Source organism: Homo sapiens, chromosome 18, assembly GCF_000001405.40.
Source record: "Homo sapiens chromosome 18, GRCh38.p14 Primary Assembly".
Classification (NCBI taxonomy): domain Eukaryota; kingdom Metazoa; phylum Chordata; class Mammalia; order Primates; family Hominidae; genus Homo; species Homo sapiens.
In genome coordinates, this window is record NC_000018.10 from 72,639,215 (window position 1) to 72,655,074 (window position 15,860).

Consider the following 15,860-nt stretch of genomic DNA (forward strand, 5'->3'; position numbering starts at 1 on the left):
GTATAACAACGTATGTCTTCAGATGGGTAGGAGACAAGCATGGCGTATTCAGGATGAAGTATGCTGAAGACTATTAACAAGTAAGACATTGCTAGTCAGGCTTTATTCTAATCATACAGGATGGAAACCTACTGAATAGACTCTTACTGACTCTACACGAAACTTGATATTTCAAAATCATGGCATAGAAACAAAATAGTCTAGAATAATCAGGCATTTACATACCTTCATTGTTGTTTCTTTATTTTTAGACAATCTAGACACTTTTAGCTATGTCTGTCATGATCTTGCAGTGTCTTTGTTCAAGGTCAGCTACCTCATGGATTAGGATAGAGGTAGAGGATCCACCCAAATCAGTACAAACACACACATAATTTAGGGCTTTGGACTAGTTGGGTTACCATACATCTCCCTGGAATGTCCAGGTTTATGCCTCTTGTGGAATTAATAGGACCAATGCTAAGATATGAGTATCATACAGATGATGTAATTGTCAACCTCAGTTCAGGCAGGTGAGACTTGATCTCTTAGCATTTATGGTAAGATCATAGTAAATGTTTTCTGAGGGATGGTTCACACTGATGTATTATTATTGAAGTAGGAATGATTGTGTCTATGTCTTGGTGCATATATGTGATTATACTTAACCACACAAACCCAGAAATAGAAAAACTGAGTCAGTAATTATCAGTGTTTTTAAGTCTCTTGATAATTATTTTCTTTAGGAAAAAAATTACACTAATTTTAATATATGTTAAATAATAGTGTTCTTTTGCATTTTTGATCACATTAAGTATTATCTTATTCATACTTGCTTATTTGGAGTAAATATTTTTATTACATTTAAATTATGCACTTTTTACTAATGAAAATGAATATTGATAACTTTTATTCATTTAATGCCATTTATAGTTTTCTTGTATAAATTGTAAGCTCATGTCCATTCTTTTTACCGGGTTGTTGGTTAAAAAATATGTTTACAAGGCCGGGCACGGTGGCTCACACCTGTAATCCCAGCACTTTGGGAGGCCGAGTTGGGTGGATCACAAGGTCAGGAGTTCAAGACCAGCCTGGCCAGATGGTGAAACCCCATCTCTACTAAAAAAAAAAATTAAAAAATAGCTGGGTATGGTGGCAGGTGCCTGTAATCCCAGGTATTCGGGAGGCTGAGGCAGAGAATTGCTTGAACCCAGGAGGTGGAGATTACAGTGAGCCAAGATCATGCCACTGCACTCCAGCCTGGGCAACAGAGCAAGACTCCATCTCAAAAATGAAGAAAAAAAAAGTTTATAAAACTTCTTAAGAATGAATTCTTTTACTGGTCATTTTTAATAAAAATATTTTATGTTAATTTCTCATTTGCTTATGATATTATTGAACCATAGACGTTTTAATATTTGTATGTGGTCAAACAGCTTTTTTCTTCTCCTTTTTTAAATCAGGAAAGATGACACATTTGAGTTTTATGCATGTGCACGTTAAAAGGATGATGGACTTTGCAATCAAATCTGGAAAGCTGCACCCAAAAAAAGTGCTGATACAACAAAAGAACAAATTATATTAATGAGATAGATATAAGACTGGATGAGATATTGAGAAAAACTATCTTGAGAGGAAAGAGGAAATAAGATGAAAATTGACATAAACCTAAATGAGTGAGGAAGCAAAGGGGAAAAGAGACAATTTAGAAAAACAAAAAGGGGCATTTGATTCAGGAAAAAGAGATAAGGTCCAGCACAAAGTGAAAGTAAAATTCCTGGGAGGAGGGCATTCAAGAAGAAAGCCATTAGGAGCGTTAGATAATGCAGAGCTGTCAAGAAAAACAAAGATTGAAAAAAAGGCACTTGAATTTATCTGCTATTTGTAAAACCCTCATCTGCCACTCAAACTATCCAGTACTTCCTTGATAAGCCCTAGTTAATGACTCCAGGTATCACCTACAACACAACAGAGATATGGGGAAAATCCCATTAAATAGAGCTAAGAAACTGACATTTATCATTCCATTCACCACAATGAAGAATTTGCTAATATACAATGTCCTGGCATTGGGAAGTTTGTGGAAATATGAACACTGGCTATGAAAGTTCAAAATGTGACATTGATTCAAAAAGTTGTCATCACATGGTATAGATACCTACTTTTAAAAATGCAGTTTCAAGAAGCATTGTCCCAGCATAACGACATCTCCTTTAACAGCCTCCATTGTAAAGTACAGTTTCTGTTTGGGAAAGCACTGTGGCTTTCCACCCTGGGGAAGAGACTCAATCTGTGCTTTCCATGCCAGTCCGCTGAGTTATGCATGTACATGTGCGCCTCCACCATGCAAAACCCGTCTTACGAAAGCATACAAAAGTCTGTCTCAAGCCACAAGCCACTGTCTCATTTTTTATCTATGTCTAAACATCAAGCTTCTGAAAAACAACTGGCTGCCATCACCATTCTTCATGTCCTTGCCCTGCTACATGCCTTTCCAATCTGACTTATGCCTCTGACCCCGACCCAGACAATTCTGTATGAGTTTCTCAGGTGTCTATTCACTGAATTCTGTGAACTTATTTTCACATATCTAACATTATCTTCTGCATTTGGCCACCAAACTCTTTTTTTTTTTTTTGAGATAAGATATTGAACTCCTAACTTGAGTGATCCCCCTGCCTCAGCTTTCTGAGTAGCTAGAACTACAGGTGATAGTCACCATGTCTGGATAATTTTTATTTTAGTTTTATTGAGACAGGGTCTTGCTATGTTGTCCAGGCTGTTCTCAAACTCCTGGTCTCAAGCAATCCTCCCAACTCAGCCTCCCAAAGTACTGGGATTGCAGTCAGGAGCCACTGTGCCTGGCCTCTGGGCAAACCATTTCTCTCCTTGGCTACTAGGATGTGGTAATTTTCTTGCCCTTCATGATTGTTCCTTCTCTCTACCCTTTAACACATCCTTTCCCATTTCCACCTCTTAATACTCCATTACCAGTATTTTCTAAGGTTCCACATTTAAACTCCATTCTCTGTCTCTGTATTTCTCTCTGCCTCTGGCTCTGTCTCTTATCTTCATACTTTTCACCCCACCCTGCTGGCAATCTCATCTACCCCAGGAATTTAACTCTATCCTGTCTTTGTTATGTTTAAAGAAGAGCCACAAGGAGAGGGCCAGATTTTTTTTTTTTTTTTTTAGGATTTTCCTTAAGGGACATCTGCCTTTTTTTTTTTTTTAAGACTGAGTCTTGCTCTGTCGCCCAGGCTGGAGTGCAGTGGCACAATCTCGGCTCACTGCAAGCTCTGCCTCCTGGGTTCACACCATTCTCCTGCCTCAGCCTCCAGAGTAGCTGGGACTACAGGCGCCCGCCACCATACCCGGCTAATTTTTTTTTGTATTTTTTTTTAGTAGAGACAGGGTTTCACCATGGTCTCGATCTTCTGACCTCGTGATCCACCCACCTCGGCCTCCCAAAGTGCTGGGATTACAGGCGTGAGACACCGTGCCCGGCCGACATCTGCTTTTTGATTAGCCACTCTAAATCCAGTAGCTTCTTTGCTATATTGGTATTTCTTAAATTTGTTTTTATCTACTTCTCAGTGATAAAGACAACCCAAGGAAGAAACCTCCCTTGTGAGCTCATGAGATGTCTGAGAGCCAAGTGGCTGTCAAAGACCCCTTCCTCCTGCTGGAAACAAAATAATGACCAGGAGGTTGCTGTCAGAGAAAAGAAAAAAAAGAGTTAAACATTTTTTCAGTGAAATTTTGATCAAGCCATGGTGGTTGGATGAATCGCATTTCTCTCTTTGATGGTGATTTTTATCTGGATAATCAGGACTAGTTATCAGCATCAGATAATTCTTTCTGCCAGACAGTGCAAGAATGACACTGACAACCTCACTCTCCAGTCTCCTAATGCAGAGTTTCCTACAGCCACCTGGTAGGTGTCCATCATTATAACACTTCCCTGTGCTAGGTCTATCACCAACACCACCGCCTTATGTCACTTTAGTTACATTTGGATTCGAGATGCCCTTCTGTTATAAGAGACCTCCGACTTTCCACTGAGATGCAGAAAACGACCTAGTTCTATCACCAGAACACTGAGTGATCACTTTTACAACGGGTTATTTTTGGGAACTATTCTGCAAGTAGCTCACATCATTCATCTTGTGTTGATTTTTATTAGTCTGAAGTTACGTATTTTCTCTTTACCTCAAATGCTGCTGCATATTTATTTCTCACAGGCTCTATGTAGAATACTCTAGTTTTTTTCCTGACTTTTTAGTTCAAGATTTAATAAAAAAAAAACAAAAACGTGTAGAACATTTCTGTTACATTTTCATAAGTAACAACTTAAACTAAGACACATTCATGGTCAAGTTCATCACCACTCCCTGTCCTCTCCACCCCTTCCTTCCCAGGCCCTTAGCAATATAGATTTGCCTACTTTATTTCCTATTGGATATTGATATCAATATCCTGGCCGGGCGCGGTGGTTCACGCCTGTAATCCCAGCACTTTGGGAGGCCGAGGCGGGCAGATCACGAGGTCAGGAAATCGAGACCATTCTGGCTAACACAGTGAAATCCCGTCTCTACTAAAAAATACAAAAAATTAGCCAGGCGTGGTGGTGGGCGCCTGTAGTCCCAGCTACTCGGGAGGCTGAGGCAGGAGAATGGCGTGAACCCGGGAGGTGGAACTTGCAGTGAGCCGAGATTGCGCCACTGCACTCCAGCCTGGGCGTCAGAGCGAGACTCCGTCTCAAAAAAAAAAAAAAAAAAAAAAAATCCTACATGCTCTGAAGTATCACCATTGTCTTTGATTTCTCACTAACTCAATATCCATTCTCCTGGGTGTATCTACCTTGGAAGTATTTCTAATCCCAGGACATTTATCATGGTTCAAATCTCCAATACTTGCAATAACCTCTTCATTGTGCTCCAGTTTCTAATTATCTCTAATAAATCTATCCAATGCACTAGAGCTATCAGAATCATCCTAAAATACAGTCCTATTTATATTACCTTCCCACACTAAAGCCTTTACTGGCTCCTCTTGGACTTACTAAAACCTAAGCCACATAAAGAGAATAATTAAAACTCAGGCTCAATCACACTAAGCTGGGTTTTTATCCTAACAATGCCACCTGTTAAACATGTGACTGGACTGGATTTCCTCCTCTGTAAAACTGGTGTAATAGTGTTACTTATCCCTTGGTGGTTGTGATGATTACACTGGAAAAACAAATATGAGACTTTAGGGTACACATAGCATATTAAGCTATCATTATTTTATATATATATTCTTTAGCAGAATATTGAGGGTAATTTGTCTCCAAGCTCTCAATTGATGTTTTCACCAAACTGACCCCCACATAGGTTCTCAGCAATCATTTCACTTTCCTGTTTCCATTTTTCTCTTGTTATTCCATTTTTAGAATTTAAACTCTAGATGTCTACTTACCTAATTCTACTTGTTATTTTAAATCCAGATTGATTGCCATTATCTTCAAGAACACAACTTCTCTTTTCATCACCCTCAGACAGGATAAAAATGATATCCATAATGAGAACTAATAATAATTGAACAACTACAACCTGCCACACTATGTCTGAAGAGCTTTATATATATTGCAACATAGCCTCCTTCCCCTGGATCCTCTCTGCATTGTGATAGCTCAAACTCCTCTTATGCACTATGGGCAGAATCACAGTATAAATCACTGTTCTGATTATGTCATCTCCCTGCCCAAAAATCTTCTCCTGGATTCTAATTACACCCAAAAGGATAATTCTGGAATTGCCCAGGTGCTAATTTGATCCACTGCTCCTCACTGCTCCGATCTTCTTTTCACCCCTTGGACACAGTGCTTGTCGCAGTTGGAGCCATGCACCTTCCTGCACATCCTCCTTGCTTTCCTGTTGCTATGCCTCTGCTCTTGCCACTTCTCCTACCTAGACACCCTCCCTATTTCTTCACTCTCTCTGTCATTAGGGCTATGTCAAGTCCTACCACCCTCCTGAAGCTGTCTTTAATAGCTCTAATCCCAAATGATGTCATGAAATATGCAAGCACTGCTGGCATCACTTATTTGGAACCTAACAATGCAGGGAGTTTTCGATGTGTTCTTTGTATTTGTTGCTTGCTTCTACAAATAACTCAAAAGCTTCTCAAGGACAAGGAACATGTTTTATGCTTCCTTGTATAATGAGGAAACTATTTTAAGTATGACAAAATGACACATCATCATTTCATCCTTAGGTTGCCTTTCCTGGCTGCCTTCTCTCTCCTTGGCTAAGCAAAGAGGCAGAAGATTATATGAAAAGAGAACACAGACCTTGACCAGAAGAATGAGACCCAGATCAGCTTTCAACCTCAAAGAGGACTGCCTTGAATTCTGCAGCCAATAATAGTCTTGAAAGCCCAGCTTTGATGAGATGAAACTACCCATAAGTCTCAAGTTCTTTAGCTCCCCTTTTACATATCAAGAGGCAGGTTTTGCTAACTTAATCACAGACTTTAAGAAGGAAAAATTTCAACCAGAGTTGGGAAGGAGATGGAAAGCCTACACCTTGAGATCCTTGGTGGTTGGGAATGACAAACTGATCAAGAAGGAGCAGGATTGGGACACCAAGATCCTGCCCTCCCCTCTCCAGCTCACATCTTAGAGGGAAAGCTAAAGGTGTGGTGCAGTTACTATGGCTTTTTAACATAATGTGTGCGTTAGAGGAACTTGACTCTGTAGCCTGGGCAGGCTCTGCTGCACACCGTCACCCAGGACTACTGTAAACGAGAGTTGAAATCATCAGAAGGCTCCCTCACTCACTCATTCACAGGCTTGGCACCCAGGCTGGGAAGACACTGGCATCTCTGCCATCTGGGGATGGGGCAGGGGAGACTCCTCAGGAATGTCTCTAACTCTCTGTGACCTCTTCCCTTTGTCCCTCGAGCAGATAAATCAAGGTAGCTGGACTTCTCACATGGTGGCTCACTACTTAGAGACCAAATGAGAGACAGGGACTATATGGAAACAGTTTCCTCTTGGCCTGGCTAGCCTGAAGATTAATGCATGGCTTCACCAACTCATTAGAAACAAGTCATTGGAGATAGGTCATATTCAGTGGGAGGAAGTGTAACAGCATGGTTTGTGAAGGAGTGTCAGAGAATCTGCAGATCTCCCTTAAAACCACCACGACATGTTATGTAGTTTGAATGAAAATGTGAAAATAGAGAAACACCCTTGGACCACTGCCCATGTGGAAACCTTGCAGAAGACACCATCCCAGGTGTCCGATGCGGATGAAGATGAAGCAGCATCTGTATAAAAATGACAGGGCAGCCTGGCTGGGCAGAGAAAAAGCGCTACTGAACCCTATGCAGTTCCACGTAGGACACAAAGGATTCTGAAGTTTCCACAGCCTTGCATTGATACAGCAAGTAGCCCAAGAGAGAGAATTGACTCAATGTGTATGTCCAAAATTGCAATAAATATCAGGGAGGATTTTTATGTGTGGATAATTTTGTATAAGTTTTGAAACCAAAATGGATATAACAGAGTGTAGATTGTTATGATGGGGAGAAAGGAGGAAGAGAGGGAAATATGGAGCATCTCTTAGGTCGGTCTGATGGGAAGAATGGTAATTATGTAAAGAAGGAGGCTTGAGAAAGTGAGGACACTCCCCTCTCCAAAACAGATCTATGAAAAGAGGACAAGTGAGCAGAGGGAATGTCACCAAATGTATGAGACCCAAGGACAAACAGCTAGAAAGTTAGTGTTTATGATCAGAAAGAAAAAAAGAGAGAGAGAGAACAGGATGCCCTGGTGTGGGAACTTGTACACTAATAGAGGTTTGAGCGAAAATCCAAGAGTTGGGGCTAGACTATCTGACCAGTGTCCTATAAATTATTATTTGTGAGATCAATGCTATGATAAGGAGCCTAATGACAGGAAGAACTGGAGAGTTGAAGGAAAGTGGAAATTATTCTCCAAAATACTGTTTCTATTGCTTGGGTTCTAGGTAGAAGCCATATAGACTATTTTTTTTAAATGTACAGATGTAATAGGAAGAACAGCAGACATGCTAAATTGCAAATGTCAACGCCTTTATATATGCGAATAATGTGATTTTCTATCTTACAGAATCCTCAAGTTTAACTCCTTTTACATATTTTCAGGTAAAATTATATAATAAATAATATAATAAACATCAAGCTGCCTTATAGATTTACATGGTGTCATCTAAGGGGTTGTCTCCTGATAATAGTTTTATTAACTTCTTATTGGTCAATAGCCTCTCTCCAACCAGCAGTTAAAGTCTTTGAGAGTAGGGGATTTTGACTTGTTTGTATTCCCCACGATGACCAGAAGACTGTCTTACAAATATACATAATAATATTCTGTTGATTTTCTTTAAAGTAGTAGCATCAGGCAGAATTTAGTACCTGTCAGTTTTTGGAAAAATTGAAAGAATGTCTGTGCATAATGAAGGTCACCCCCCAGTACACATTCAGGGCAGGGAAAGAAGAGAGGGTCGAACTCTGCAAATGTTTAATTTGTGTCAGGATCGGGTAGCCTCTATCAATGTAATTTAATGCAAAATCAGATTGGTGTCTGAACACTGAATAATTCATAGATAGCTTACATAAATATGTTTCTATTTGTGCTACCTCATGCACATTTAGGCTAACTTGAGTTTTGGCCCTTAACCCTGAAAAAGACCCCCCTCAAATTAAGCATAAATGTGTTATTTTAAAATAGACTTGTTATTCCTTAGGAAAAGATTTGTCATGTCATCTTGCAATCACACATTTAGCTAGTTTGCATAACATCTATGGTTAAATGTGGTCAACGATATCACTGCTTTATAGTCATCTTACATAAGTTTCACATAAAAAATTAGAGTCAATTCATTGTTGACATGGGAAGAAAAAAGTGATGTTTATTACAAAAAGTTAGCCTCGCAATGTTTAAAAATATTTCCTGTCTACATTCTCCCCATTTTAATGTCTTAATTGAGAAATAATTCATATACCATAAAATACACCCATTTAACAACATACAATTCCATGTTCTTTAGTGTACTCAGCATTGCTCAACCTTCATCACAGTCGGAGTCTGAAACATTTTCATTACTCCAAAATGAAACCCTGTACCTAGTGGCTGTCTCTCCCCATTTTTCCTAACCCCCAGCCCTACACAGCCTTGTAGCTCCTCCACCCAGTCTCCAGAGACTGCCTATCTTGGACATTTCGGATCACTGGACTCATACCCTATACAGTCTCTCTTTTGTTTTGCATCCTGTTCTCAGCATAATGTTTTCACAGTTCACCTAAATTGTAGGATGAATCCATTTTTCATTTAATTTATTGCAGAAAAAAATATACCATTGTATGGATATACCACATTTTTTTTATTCATTCATCAGTTGTTGGATTTGGAAAGATTCCACTTTTTGGCTACATCTTGCAGCATTTTAAAGAGATGCACTGTTAAAAATGTATAAAACCCACTCTTGCTTTAACACTTTGGAAGTGTGAACATCTCTCTTCTCTACTCTCCAACAGGGCAGCTTTCCCAGCTTGTTGGTGGGGCAGCCATTCAAGCCCCTCTGGTGTTTACTGTCTAAGGAAGGACTTCCATTTCTTCCCTAAAACATGTTTTTTCTCCATTCACTGGCTAGATTCATTTTCCAATTCAGTCTTCATAATGCAATGGAATAAAAATACACATATTGTAAAATTTAACACAAAGAGCACTGATGTGGAAGTTAAAAATATCTGTTTCTCTCTTCAATTTTATCATTGCCTTTTGGGGAAAACAAGTACAGTCTGAAATTTCTCTGTTCTCAGAGTTACATCATAGCAGAGTGACCACCTAATAATACTCTGCACTAAGCTTTAGGAAACTTGATGAGGAGGAACTCCTACAACACAAACTTGCACCAAACCAACCAAATGAAAAACCAAAACCAACACCAAAAGCCAAATAATAAGAACCCAATAAAACTCACTACTATGTATTTTGTTTGTTTGTTTGCTTTGCTTTTTAAATTTCTTGATTGCTAGCATTTAATTTAACTAGAGATGGAAATTTTAACACACACACACACAGACACACATCATTTAATTCAGTTAAAGTACGTTGTTCTATGTTGTTTTTTTTCTTTTCTCCTTTTTTTTTCTTTCATCAGAGCTGGCACCCAGAGACTTTGTCCCTGAGCAATATATAAATTGAGCTCTAATTATTTCTATTTTTGTGGACCTGGGTATCTCTGGTAGGAATGTGGTGAATACGGGGAAACAGGCAGAGTGGCTTGCAAAAAAATAAAACACACTTTAAAAAGCTGAATGGGCTAGATTTATGAAGAGCTGCTCGAGAGAGGTATATATTGTCCTTTTTACACCCAGTATGCAAAATATAGGGGAGATGGCCAGCACCTGTTATGCTGAAGTTCTGCTGCACTTAAAGGAATCAGATCTCACATGCGGATGCGAGTGTCTGATGGCCTGAGCAAGTGGCACACAGGAAAATAAAAGAGAGGCATTCTGAAACGCGAAGAAGAGGGGCTAAGTCATGCCCCTAAAGACAGCCAGGGCTCAATTTCATGCAGTTTGGGTATTGCACTTATTAAGACCCCATCCCATATTCACAGGTGTGAAATGAAGCCTGTGTGTAGTCATTGCGAGAGCCTGTACTAGCAGCATCCAAACGCTTCGGTCATGTTCACGCCCCTATCAGAAAAGAAGGCTCAAGCAACCACTCACAAAATGCATTTACAAAGTATGAATGAAATACATCTACTACTGTAGTGATATATTTATATATGACAGATTACACACAAAATGGAAATCGTAAAAATGATGAGGTGGAAAAAAATAGTGAGGGAAGTCCTAATACTTTCCCCAACTCCAATATATCATTCTAAACAATCTTTGGCATGAACCTCCCCACCTAGGAGACTATGGACGCGGGGACTTGGAGGAATGAGGTTAATTCAACATTTATAACAGGAACTCTGCTAGGGTTTCCGATAAAAATAAATAACATAATTTCGAAAAATAAGTAAGTATCTTTAAATACTTAAATTCTCTTTGTAGAGATAAAAGATACCGACAAATCATTATAATTTAGGGATAAGTACAACATTCAAGTTATGTACTGGATACTGACACAGTGATGATCGTGTCTGACAATCAGAAATGCTTCATGAAAAATAAGATGTCATAGAAAAAAAACAAAGTAGAGAGATATTCTCACTGGTGAAGCAAGCCCCGGCAAGAATGAGTATTAAGCATAGAAATATCTCACCTCTTGGTATGATTCTCTGTGCTCCCAAACATAGTACTGTACAGTTAAGTGTGCATAGATAGATATGAGTTAGAAAGACCATGATTATTATAAGTAAATTAAAAACAATCTCAGAACTTGGATTGATTGATTCATGTATTCATTTTTACAGACACTCATTGCTTTTTATCTCTACTTATTCATTCAGTCAAAAATATTTTGCCAATACTGATTATGTTGCAGGCATTTCTCCAGACCTAGAAAACAAGAGGGGAATACGGTCTCATAACCCCTGTCCTCATGGGACTTATATTTTATGGGAAAAGACATCATGAATAGAAAGATGGATACACATATTATATAGCAGGTACTGATAAATTCTGTGAATAAATGTAAATATAAGAAATTTGACAGTGACAAAGGTGTGATTTTTAGCTAGGGTGTAGAGAGAAGGGTTCCCTGAAGATATTTTAGCATTTGGCTACAGAAAATAAGGGAGCAGGACCCGTGAAAATTTGTTCATAAAACAAATTACAGTACAGTTTTGGGCAACTTAAGTTTGAGGTGCCCTTTAGCCACCCACGTGGCAATGTCCAGTGTGCTGTCAGATATACAATGCTGGGGTTTAGGAGAGAGGCTAGACCTGGAAAGCGCTGTGGACTTCATTGCTGATGGTCCGGTCTCTATAGCCAGGGACAAGTTGTGTTAACCTGGGGAGAGGAGTAGAGATGGACTCTAAGCCCTGGGGTTCTGCCGCACCCACAGGTCGGAAGAGGAAATACACTGGGGAGAGACACTGAGGAGGTGCAGCCATTGAGCAAGGAAAAATGCCAGGCCAGTGTCATGTCACAAAAAAATAAATAAATAAAAGAAAAGAAAGAAGTAACAGTCTCAGGAAAGAGAAATAGCAACCCTGTCAAGTGCTGCTGAGAAATAGAAAACAATGAAATATAAGAACTGACTTTTACTGATCATGAAAAGATCTGGAAATTTAGTTCTCATATAATAATCTCAGAGGCAGTTCTTTTCAATATATGATAGATTAGAACAAAAAAGTTACAAAAGTTGTTAGTGATTGGGATGATGAGAAAGCCTAGGCTGGTGGGTCCCAATGTACCAAGGGCTTAAAATTCGACTTAATTTACCCACGTATTAATATAGAATCGCACATCACCAAGAAATTAAAAACTAAGTCACATACAATCATGACTTTTATTTGTATTGCACTTTCCCTCTGAACTTTTTTTTTCTTTTTTTTTTTTTTTGAGAGGGAGTCTTGCTCTGTCACCCAGGCTGGAGTGCGGTGGCACGATCTTGGCTCACTGCAAACTCCGTCTCCCAGGTTCATGCCATTCTCCTGCCTCAGCCTCCCAAGTAGCTGGGACTACAGGTGCCTGCCACCACGCCCGGCTAATTTTTTGTATATTTAGTACAGACGGGGTTTCACCGTGTTAGCCAGGATGGTCTTGATCTCCTGACCTCGTGAACCGCCCGCCTCGGCCTCCCAGATTTTCTCTGAACTTCTGCATAGATCACCCATAGAGGCTCCTCTGGTCTAGGCTGCAGGAGGATGGGTAAAGATAGAGGTTCCAAAGGTTTTAGCAAAAAGACTCTGGGCACGGTCTCTGAAATGACGATTAGAACAAGGTATCAGGGAAGAAAGAGATGCTGTAGCGTGGGTAACAGAAAGCACCGCCTTTACCCTTTTCTTCCATTTTCACTCTTATTCTTCCTTCTATTGACTGCCCTTTACTATCCCTGTTGTGCATTAGGAAACCCAGCCCATAGGGTGAGGAAAATGGTTTTGGTTTTAAACAAGTTCGTCAGATGAAATTTGTTGGCAATAATAGGGATTTGTTTTCCTCCCTCTCTCCATTTTTCTCCTCACAGCCTTGTGCAATTGTGTGAGGTGGGAGGTGGGGAAATGGGGTCAGCATAGGGTTATCTTAGAAGGGTGGGGAAGGAACACAGAAAATTACCAAAATAAAGTGACTGCTTTCTTTTCTCTATAAGTTTCTCAAGTCTGCATTAAATTATGGCTGAGCATTGGCTCTTTACAAGTTTCTGGAAAATGACGATGAGTTTTGGTGAACATATAGCAGTTTAATCATGTAATCATGCGTAGCACTGATTTAGTTTTAAATTCTTGGGAAACCTCAGTCAAGTACACGAAGGCTTAATTTCACTCAGAATCAAACATAAAGGTGACATTTCAAATAACCCTCTCCTATCTATCTCACCATCTTTTTCCTTCTACCCTAACAGTATGACACAATATGCAAAGTGCCACACAAACACACTGCAATTAACTGTGAAAAATGAAAATAATTCTGTTTTTCTACCTGAAGCCCAGCTTTCCCAGGGAGACAGGCTGCAGTTGCTTAGAGAACACAGCACTGTTTTGATTCTGGAGTCCAGTTCACATGCTCCACCTAAAGTTCAAGGATTGTGTATTTTTTCAACACTGGATAAACTTTAAGGGGGAACCCGAGGAACAGCAATTACTTTGGAATTGATTCTGCCATTTAAGTGGCTTCTCACTTTGAGGAAACAATTAAAGTTTTCTCTTCTGGCCCTCAGATCCTGGGATAATTGGATATCAAAATTCCTCGGAATGAACTTAAGAGACGAAGCTGAAAGAGACACGACTATCTGTCTCATACAAGCATCTTGTCTTTGTCACTCCACAGTGCTCCTGCAGGGGGCTCCAAATCACAAGATACCATGTGAGTGTCAGAGGCCTACTGGCTTTGATAGCTGCACACACCTTTTTTTTTTTTTTTTTTTTGCTTTTTTTTTGCAATTTAATACAATGTTTCCTAAGGCAATATAGGCTTGCTGTTTGCAAATCCATAAGCACCCATACCATGCTGAAGGCATGCAAAGCAAATTGGGAAGCAAAGAAGAATATGTCCCACTTTAAGGGATGCACAAACAGCAGTAGTTTGACAGATACTGTTGAGCACAAAGGCCAGCTGGAGTCAGAAGTTATGGGATGTTAGATCCATACCCTATGATTTTGAACATATCTGACTATAGAATCCATTCTTTGTTGCTGTTTCTTTCTAGAATTCATGGATAACTTATATCTAAAGCCAGAAAACATTCACAGTAAGAAATAAGTTAGTGCATGCATTATCTAAACAGAGATTGGTGTTACAAATATACGCATAGATAGGAAGTATCTATCCACAGGAATATTTCTTTAGCAAATGAAATTATGACATTTGAATGACTGAATACAATGGAATTAGTTAATCTCAATCTTCTAAGATTTGGGTTAGATCCTAGTAGAATACAGTTACTTTGGTTAGCTATTTACCTAAGGCTTAGAGTAAAAGGACAATAATGAAAATTTTATTATTATTTCCATCACAACGTTCTACTTAATGTCATCCACTGAGTATCTCTTTATGCCAGTGCTTGTTCTATAGCACTCTGTTTCTTTGACGGAGTCTCACCCTGTTGCCCTGGCTGGAGTGCAATGGTGCAATCTTGGCTCACGGCAACCTCTGTCTCTTGGGCTCAAGTGATTCTCTTGCCTCGGCCTCCCGAGTAGGTGGGATTACAAACATACACCACCATGGTCAACTAATTTTTGTATTTTTGGTAGAGACAGGGTTTCACCATGTTGGCCAGTCTGGTCTTGAACTCCTGACCTCAGGTGATCTGCCCGCCTTGGCCTCCCAAAGTGCTGGAATTACAGGCATGAGTCACTGCTCTCAGCCGCTCTGATTCTTCCTCCGTGATATGCCACATTGTCTGGCATGTCCAGATAGACTAAACTAGGTTTCTAGAAATACATAGTCAAAGCAAACATACTGTAAAATGTAGATGCATAATTATTACTAAAATATTCTGATGAATTAAAGTGGGGTTATTTCACTTCTAATCCTTCTTCGGCTCTTTCTCTGTCTGTGTAGGCAATATTCAAGAAGGATCCATCTACCTTAAGAATATAGTCTCAGATTCCCTCACTAGAGGAAAACAAAGAATTTGAAGAAATCAAGGATGCTCTTATGCCACAATCAAAATAAACTAATCTAAAATTGGTTAAGGAAACAGCCTAAAGAATGAAAAAGATGCATCTCTCAGCTGGAAAGATGATCAGGGATTTCTAGTCTTACTAACACCATATGAAAGAAATAAATTGGCATCGTGTCCTTTCCAAAGTGAGAGCACCAAAGAAAGTTTTTGATTTCATAGCATTATACATGAAAAACTGGACAGGGCTCTGGCCTTTGTTATAGTCCCAGTGACTCCCCACATTGCTAATTCCTGAGCAAGATTTCAACCTCATATCCATGACCTATCAGCAATATGTAGCAAAGATGCTTTCTCCTTTCTCCTTGCTATACTTTCTTGATTTGGTTCTAGGACACTCTCTTCTTCTGGTTTTCCTTCTCCTTCACTGATTTTCCTTCTTAGGTACCCTTTTGTGGATTCTACTCCTTTGCCCCAATCTTTTAAAACCGAGGGTCAAGGATTCAGTTTTGGGTTCTTTCCTCTACCTTACCCACTCCCTTGGTGAGCCAATCTTCCCATGGACTTATATCATCAATATGTCTGGATTTTCTTTATATACATCTTAAGC